We start from the raw sequence: 9,658 nt of genomic DNA, 5'->3' as shown, positions 1-9,658 counted from the left end.
AAGGGAAGGGAGAGGGTGGGCGGTGGTTTGGGGAGTTGCCTGGAGGAGGAGGGATTAGCCTTGAAGATGAGGAGGGCTGGGGGTTGGAGAAGAGCAGATTGGATATGGGGGGCACCATGCCCTTCCTGAGCTGGTCCCTGGCTCTGCACCTCAGTGCTAGGTCTAAGCTGGAGGGTCCAGGGCCCAGGTGGCATTGCTGACCCCCAGGGGGTCGGGGCTGCTCTGAGGCCCTTCTGTAGATGTAGATGGAAGCCTAGTCCTGTCCACCTTCCTGAGGCCAGGTGGAGTTGCTTTCCCTGCAAGCCCAGGCAGCTCTGCCCTGTGCCCCTCCCCCAGCCCTGCAGTCCCCCAGGCCCACGCAGGGCCGGCCTCATGGTCTCGCTTCCTCTCTGGGTCTGCTTCAGGGCCCAGCCTCCAGCCCCATGAGCCTGGGCCCTCCTGCTCCTGTCCCCACTGGCCCCAGGTCACTTCCACACTGGCTCTCCCCGCACCCTGGGCCTGCTCAGCCACTCTTGCCCACAGCCAGGAGCTTCTGTGCAGCTTCTTTCCTTTCACTTGCAGCCTGCCTGCCCTCTGCTTCCCCGGACCCCTTGTGACCTTCCCTGACCTCTCTGCAGAACTGGGCAAAGCCACTCACCCTGGTTCCCCCGGGTTTAGCCTGGTCTCTTGACACCCACTCAGGGCTGCCCAGCCTTCATCCTGCTTCACTGGGCCCAGCCTCATTCCAGGGCTTCTGAGACTGCAGGGCCCTCTCTTCTCCCCTCTCCCTGCTTTGCAAATTCTCAGTTCATCCTGGCAGCTCCAACTCTCCATCCCTCCACCCATCCATCCCCCCATCCCTCCACCCATCCATCCCCCCACCCATCCCTCCACCCATCCATCCCCCCATCCATCCACCCATCCCTCCACCCATCCCTCCACTCATCCATCCACTCATCCCTCCACCCATCCCTCCACCCATCCATCCACCCATCCATCCAACCATCCCTCCACCCATCCCTCCACTCATCCATCCACTCATCCCTCCACCCATCCCCTACCCATCCAGCCACCCATCCATCCACCCATCCCTCCACCCATCCATCCACCCATCCCTCCACCCATCCATCCAACCATCCAACCACCCATCCCTCCACCCATCCATCCACCCATCCCTCCACCCATCCACTTACCCACTCATTCACCAACTCATCCATCCACTGGTCCATCTGCCCACCAAACCATCCACTCACCATCCACCCATTCACCTATTTATCCATCCCATCCACCCACTTACCACTCACTCACCCACTCATCCATCCATTTACTCACCCCTCCATCCACCCACCCACTCATCCATCTATTCTTCCACCCACTCACCCACTCACTCACCCACGCACCCATTCACCCATCTATTCATCCACCCACCCAACCATCCACTCACCCACCCATCCACCTATTCATCCATCCCATCCACAAACACCCCACCTACTACTCACTCACCCACTCATTCATCCATTTACTTACCCCTCCACCCATCCACCCATTCATCCATCTATTCATCCATCCCATCTACCCACTCACCCACTTACCCAGTCTCACCCACTCATCCATCCACCCATCTATTCGTCCACCCAACAGTCCACCCACCCACCCATCCACTCACCCATCCATCCACCTATTCATCCATCCCACCCACCCACTCACCCACTTATCCACTCACTCACGCACTCATCCATCCATCCACTCACCCTCCCATCTACCCATCCACTCATCTATCCATCTACCCACTCGCCCACTCATCATCCACCCACTCACCCACTTACCCACAAACTCACCCACTCATCCATCCATCCACTCACCCTCCCATCCACCCACCCAGTCATCTATCCATCTACCCATTCACCCACTTACCCACTCACTCACCCACTCATCCATCCATCCACGCACCCTCCATCCACCCACCCACTCATCTATCTACTCACCTGTCCATCCACCCACTTAACTCTCACTCACCCACTCATCCATCCATCCACTCACCCTCCATCCACTCACCCAGTCATCTATCTATTCATCTGTCCATCCACCCACTCACCCACTTACCTCTCACTCGCCCACTCATCCATCCATCCACTCACCCTCCATCCACCCACCCACTCATCTATCTATTCATCTATCCATCTACCCACTCACCCACTTACCCACTCACCCACTCATCCATCCATCCACTCACCCTCCATCCACCCACCCAGTCATCTATCTATTCATCTATCCATCTATCCACTCACCCACTTACCTCTCACTCGCCCACTCATCCATCCAACCACTCACCCTCCATCCACCCACCCAGTCATCTATCCATCTATCCATCTACCCATTCACCCACTTACCCGCTCACCCACTCATCCATCCATCCACTCACCCTCCATCCACCCACCCAGTCATCTATCTATTCATCTATTCATCTATCCATCTACCCACTCACCCACTCACCCACTCATCCATCCATCCACTCACCCTCCATCCATCCACCCACTCATCTATCTATCCATCTATCCATCTACCCACTCACCCACTTACCCGCTCACCCACTCATCCATCCATCCACTCGCCCTCCATCCACCCCCCAGTCATCTGTCTACTCATCTGTCCATCTACCCACTTAACTCTCACTCACCCACTCATCCATCCATCCACTCGCCCTCCATCCACCCCCCAGTCATCTGTCTACTCATCTGTCCATCTACCCACTTACCTCTCACTCGCCCACTCATCCATCCATCCACTCACCCTCCATCCACCCACCCACTCATCTATCTATTCATCTATCCATCTACCCACTCACCCACTTACCTCTCACTTGCCCACTCATCCATCCATCCACTCACCCTCCATCCACCCACCCAGTCATCTATCTATTCATCTATCCATCTATCCACTCACCCACTTACCTCTCACTCGCCCACTCATCCATCCAACCACTCACCCTCCATCCACCCACCCAGTCATCTATCCATCTATCCGTCTACCCATTCACCCACTTACCCACTCACCCACTCATCCATCCATCCACTCACCCTCCATCCACCCACCCAGTCATCTATCTATTCATCTATTCATCTATCCATCTACCCACTCACCCACTCATCCATCTATCCACTCGCCCTCCATCCACCCCCAGTCATCTGTCTACTCATCTGTCCATCTACCCACTTGACTCTCACTCACCCACTCATCCATCCATCCACTCACTCCTCCATCCACCCACCCACTCATCCACGTATACAAACACATGGACAGGCACTACCCACATGCTGGACTTTCAGCCAAGAGATAAGCTCAGCGTCATGGAGGGAAGAAAGCGAAAGGTGTTCGGTGCTCTTTTAAGCAAGACAGGCCTCATGGAGAAGTTGGCGTGGGGGCAGAGACTGGACGGAGCTGAGGCCTCATGGAGAAGTTGGCGTGGGGGCAGAGACTGGAAGGAGCTGAGGAAGGAGTATGAAGCATCCAGAAAGAGCGTTCTTCCTCACAGGGATAAAACATGAGTGGTCTGGGAGTGTTTGAGCCACAGCAGGAAGTCGGGGGTTTGGGTTGGTGGGAGCTGCAGCAGGAAGAGGTGGAGGGCCTGTGTAGGGGGCTGAGGTCAGAGCTGTAATGGGGGGCAGATGGCCTGGGCTGCATAGGCCATGCCGTTTGTTCAACAGACACCATGGGACCCTGAGGCCATGGGGTGAATTGTGGCCCTCAGAAAGGTCTGTCCCGTCATGTGCAGTGACTCGAACCTGTAATCCCAGCTACCCAGGAGGCTGAGCCAGGAGGATCACTTGAGCCCAGGAGTCCAAGGTTATAGTGAGCTGCGATGGCACCTGTGAACAGACACTGCACTCCAGCCTAACCTAACCCTAACCCTAACCCAACCTCCACGCAGCACCCACGTGGCCTCGTGGCACAGCTCGGTTCATAGTCCAGCAGTGGTACCTTATTTCCTTGGTGACAAGCAACACCCTCATGATGACCCATGAGGCCACCTGACCCACACTACCCATCACCACCACCGCTATGACACCTGCCCAGCCACAGTGGTCCCAGGTTGGGTTGCCCCTGCCTAGACCCCTTCCCCTGCAGACCTTTGCCCAGGTCATCTTGGCGTGGTTGCACCCTCGGCATGGAGTCTGCCTTGGAATTCCTCTGCACAATGGCAGCCCGTGTGGACCTGTCCCACAAACGCTCTGAGAATGAAGAGGACACACTTCCAATGGCACCTGCTGTGGCCAGCTTCACTCCTCCAGGATGTCCTGCAGACCCCTCACCCAGCATGCGTCTGCCGGTCCACCACTGCCCTCCACCACACCTCACATTGAGTTAGTTGAGGAGATCCACGGACTCCACCAGGCCCTGGCCCCTGCTGCTGTCCAGCCTCCTGTAGAGCCAGCCCCTCTGGCCATGCTCCATATGGGACCAGAGCAGTGGGGCCAGAGTCTGCCTCTCTCCACTTAGAGCCCTCCGTGAATCCCGTGGGCCACTGGCAAATCCAGGCCCTGGCCAGGCTTTCCAGCACCTGGCCCCATCCCTGGTCCTCCCACCCACCCCTCCACTCCCAGTCCCAGGCTGCACCTGCTGCCCTCTTGCCCAGGCCCTCTGGTATCACCCTTGTCCTGGTAACTCACGCACGCCCTCTGCTGTACTGTGCCATCCTGACCCCCAGGAGTCTGGCCTCCCTGGTCTCCCTTCCTGTTTGTTCTGGCATTGAGCCCCCCACCATCCGCCAGAGACACTGCTAACCATGGTCCCAAGACGCCTGCTGGCAAGTCCTCTCCAGGATCCCTGGGGCTCTGTCTGGGGCTCCCAGACCAGAGGGGTCAGACAGAAGGCCCTGGAGGGTGCCTCGAGGGACTCTGGCACCCCACCAATGGCTAACTCCCTGCTCCCCGGGTTAGCTTGTCCCCTGCCCCTGTGTTAGCTTCCCCCTTGCCCCCTACCCCTGGGTTAGCTTGCCCCCTGCCCCTGGGTTAGCTTGTCCCCTGCCCCCCGGGTTAGCTTGTCCCCTGCCCCCCGGGTTAGATTGGCCCCTGCCCCTGGGTTAGCTTGGCCCCTGCCCCCCGGGTTAGCTTGGCCCCTGCCCCTGGGTTAGCTTGGCCCCTGCCCCCTGCCCCCCAGGTTAGCTTGCCCCCTGCCCCCCGGGTTAGCTTGCCGGGGAGACCCAGCTGCCAGGCATCCTTGCTGAGGTTGCCCACCGGCCCGCTCAGCAGGCCTCATCCTGGAGGAACCTGTCCCTCTGGGTCTGGCCCCCAGGGTCCCCGCTCTTCCCAGCTCCCACACAGGTGCGGCCAGGCCAGGGCTGGCACCCACAGGCTGACAGCCCCACCCCTCAAGCCTGGTCTCCACCTTCTCAGCTGGGCCCCTGGCCCTGCCCACTCCCCTCTGGCCCAGGCCGGGGCTGCAGCCCCAGGCTCAGAGTGTAGTCTCCAGCCTGTCCCCCGGCTCCCAGCCCCAGCCAGCCCAGGCCTCAGCCGGCCTGAAACCAAAGAGAAAATGCCTGTTTATGCCAGTCATGCCGAAAGCAAAACAGTTTGTGGTTTGTGACCCAAATTTTTTGCCTTTTTTTTTCAGAACATAACAAAGCCCAAGACAACTCCCTCCCCGCTCCCAGCCCTCCCCCCAAGGCAGACAGAAATGATCTGTTTACACTGGCCGCGGCACATTCCGGCCGCCAGCCCGGCCCTCTCCCCAGTGCCGTGCCCTCCGTGCTGGGCTCCTCCTCGGTGGAAGGGGCTGCTGAGGCCGGGGAGAGGGGACCGCACCACAGACCTGGAGCGAGGGTGGGGCTTGCTTCCTCTGGGGGATGGCTGAATGAGATGTGTCTTGGGGGTTGGGGGTACCGGGGTGCATGTCCATCTGGGAGTTGGAGTGGGGACTCCATGCTGCCTGCACAGGCTACACAGGGAAGGATGGCAGGAGAGCGGCCGCCTGCAGCCGCTCCCTCCAGGGAACCCCTCTCCAAGTCTGCCTTTCAGTACCCCCTTCACATAGACAGGTGCTTAGACCCTCAGGGTGACAGGACCTATTACCTACCCACCCCCTCTACTGCACTCCATCCTCTCGCCTCCTCCCTCCTTGATTGTCCAAAGCCTGAGACCCCCTGACTCAGCTCGGCCGTGGAGCACACAGAGATGGGGATGCCTCTGCCCTTGAAAGCCTGCAGCCCCAGAGTGGCGGTGTCAGTGGGGTGGTGGGTGTGGAGGAGGGTGGCCCCAGACTGCATTGAGGGAGGGGGGTGCAGGCACATGTTGGAGCCCAGTGGTAGGGGGCAGGTGGGACCCCAAGGTGCCATGACTGGAAGCAAGAACAGGCCCCTCCCCATCTTCAGACTGTTCCCACGTGCCTGGCTCTCCCAGGGGACAGAAAAGTGGTGCAAACCTTCACCTTCCCCAGGCCTCCTCGGAGTCCTCCTCGGAGTCCTCGGAGAGCCAGAATTGCCCCTCTCTCCTTCCAGCCTCCTCCACTGCCCTCTCCTGATCGCCTCCTCCCAGTCTTCATTCTTTGTTCGCGCACTTGGCTATGCCTGCTCCTGGTGCTGGGGAGCCAGGGCTTCAGAAGAAGGAATTCCTGGGCCAAGGGGACCTGGTGGTGTGAGCGGGGTGAGGCAAAGGCACCTGGAGGTCTGGGGCTGAGAAAGACCATGCAGACAGGGGTGCTCCTCCCGCGGGGTCGGACAGGAGCGTGGGCATTGGCAGGACGTGGGTGGGAAGGGCGTTCTAGGCACAGGGAACCGCATGTGCAGGCACAGGTGTGCACACATGGAGGGAGATGGCTGCAGCTCAAAGGGCCTCGGTGCTGAGCCAAGAAGCTGAACTTGACCTTCAGTGAGCTCTGGGAGGCGGGGAGGGGCTTTTAAGGGGAGAGTGAGCCACTCTAGCCATCAATTCTGGAGAGATGGTCTAAGTGTGGGAACTCCTGGAGCCTGAGAGGGTTTGGAGGTGCACTAGCGGGTGGGGTGGGTGGGGTGGAAGGGGTGGTGCTGGGCCGGGCGCAGGGAGGCACCCCAGCTGGGAGGAGCTCGGTGTGGCCCAGCAGCATCGCACGCATGCACGGATGGGGTCATTTCCACCCTGCCCCCAGCCCCACCAAATGCAGACCCTGGCTCCTCAGCTGGGGGGAGTATGGGGAGCAGGGAGCTCCTCCTGCCTCAGGCCCTGGGGGCAACCCAGGTCTGCCCACTCTCAGGCTGGCTGGCTCCCCCGCCTGGCTGGGAGCATCACTTCGGGAAGGTCTGGCCGAGTACCTCTGCTTCCCTTCCCCTGCCTTGTCGTCCCTGGCCTCCCGTCTATCAGGAACAGATGTGCCTCTGAGCAGGAATCCTAGCTATTTGGTTTAGCCAGCCACTCTCGGGAATTTCTGATAAGGCAAATTGGTTCTCTGCAGAGTCGGTGGAGGTAGTGGGGGAGAAGACAAGCAGTGCCCACCCCCACCTTTCTCCTGCCGAGGACGGGGCCTAGGATACGCCCCAGCCTGGTCCCTGGCCCCAGCTCAGCAGCACTGTGGGGAGGAAGACTTTCGAGGCCTCTCCTGATGCTCCGTGGCGCTGCAGTGGCTGAGGGCTGGCCGGCCCCAGCAGGTGGGAGCGGGCTGAGACCACAGGGGTTTCCCCCACCCCTGGACCTGGGCTCAGAGCTTTGTGGGAGGGAAAGAAATCTACACTGGAGCCCTCTGTGGTGTTGAAGCAAGCAGCCGCAACCCTCCCCAGCACCCAGCCCTCAGCGGCCACATGTCCCATGTTCCGGGCTCTGTGCGGGACCTTCCACGACACTCTGGTCCTTCCTGCCTTCATCATCTGTTCAATACACATATGCCAGGCCCTGTACAAAGCCCTAGAATCATGAAGATGGATAAAGTTCCATTCCTGCCCTCAAAACAACTCTAGGAAGTGGCACATCAACATAAATGTAACAAACAGCAGGGCTGAGGAGGGGCCCGGCTAGCACCTTGTAAATTATTCACTCAGATCTTCCCTGGATCCCAGAACATCGTCTTATCTTGTTCTATTCTGTCCATGGTTTTAGCCTGTGGAGGCCATTTAAAGTATCAGTTTGGTCTTCCAGCCACTTAGCTTATATTTCTCAGCCTTGGACCTTCAATGTGGGCTCCATGAATGGATGGGTGGGTTGGTGGATGGATAAGCAGATGGGCAGATGGGTAGATGTATGGATAGGTAGATGATGGAGTGGGTGGGTGATGGATGGGTGAATAGATGTGTGTGTGGGTGAATGGATGTATGGATGGATAAATGGATGTGTGGATAGGTGCAAGTCAGCTGTAGGTCAACAAGTGTCTACCTGGATTCTCTTCTGACATGATCCTTGTGAGGGAAGAGAGCAAAGAGACTGTAATCCATTGTATGTCTGTGCTTATAGAGATTCTATGTGTTGATTCAGGTTGAATATATCCTGTTTTTAGGATCCAACACATCATAGAGATTAAAAGATATTTGTCGATTAAATGAAATTTATTGGGAATGATATTAAAAGGAATTTTAAAAATGAAATGTAAAGGTCTTGTTTAAGTGAACATATACCTGGAAATTGTCTCAAGAGGACCTAGAAAAATCTGAACATATCGGCCGGGCTCAGTGGCTCACGCCTGTAATCCCAGCACTTTGGGAGGTCAAGGCAGGCGGATCATGAGGTCAGGAGTTCGAGACCAACCTGATCAACTTGGTGAAACCCTGTCTCTACTAAAAATATAAAAATTAGCCGGATGTGGTGGCGCACGCCTGTAATCCCAGCTACTCAGGAAGCTGAGGCAGGAGGATCGCTTGAACCCGGGAGGCGGAGGTTGCAGTGAGCTGAGATCATACCACTGCACTCCAGCCTGGGTGACAGAGCGAGACTCTGTCTCAAAAAAAAAAAAAAAAAGAAAAAGAAAAATCTGAAAATCTGAACATACCAATTACCAGGTTGTCAACTGAGGGTTACAAGATGCTACCCCAGAAAAAGGCACAGGGCCCAGAGTGTTCCACGGGAAAGTTTTTTAAACACTCAAGATCATGCCTGTACTATACAAAATGTTTCAAGTGTAGAAGATGGACACGGTTTCTATTCATTTTTGGTGTTAGCATAACCCTGATTAACAAAACTCAAACACAATGGCACAAAAAAGGAAAAACCACAGTCCAAGGTCACATGTAAAGAAAGATGCAAAAATTGTCAATAAGAGAATTAGCAAATTAAATCCAGCAGTGTATTAAATTAAAGTAATAACACACCATGACCAAGTAGAGTTTGTTTCCAGGAACGCAAGGATGACTCAACATGAAGAAATCCATTAATATCATGATGCTAATAAGCCAAAGGAAGAAAAACCATATGATAATATTGAGAAGTGCCAAAAACGTATGTAATAAAATCTAAAATGCACTACCAGTTATAAACCGTGTTGAGCAGGCTAGGACTAAAAAGAAACTTCCTCAACATAAGAGAAGATACCTAGTCCTCAGTTTCCTGCTATCTCCTCACCCACTGAGAGGACTTTTCACGACAACCACCAACCTTCTTGTAGCCAAATTCAGGGCACCCTTTTTTTTTTATTAGACTTGACCACTCAGCAGCCTTTTCCTGCTCACCCGCTTGCTCTCACTCCCCACTCGGAAACTTCTCTTGGTTCTCCTTCTAGTATGGAGTAG

General features: G+C 56.4%; 1 annotated feature.

Moving 5' to 3' along the window:
• Nucleotides 48-872: an enhancer, noted in NCBI's record as "H3K4me1 hESC enhancer chr11:2148496-2149320 (GRCh37/hg19 assembly coordinates)". NCBI's record gives its function as "activates a minimal SCP1, AML or CMV promoter by ChIP-STARR-seq in naive H9 embryonic stem cells {active_cell/tissue: H9 hESC(naive)}" and the evidence as "EXISTENCE:reporter gene assay evidence [ECO:0000049][PMID:30033119]".

Source organism: Homo sapiens, chromosome 11 (genome assembly GCF_000001405.40).
Source record: "Homo sapiens chromosome 11, GRCh38.p14 Primary Assembly".
Lineage (NCBI taxonomy): Eukaryota > Metazoa > Chordata > Mammalia > Primates > Hominidae > Homo > Homo sapiens.
The sequence above is the reverse complement of the archived record's forward strand: the minus strand, read 5'-3'. Positions and strand labels throughout refer to the sequence as shown.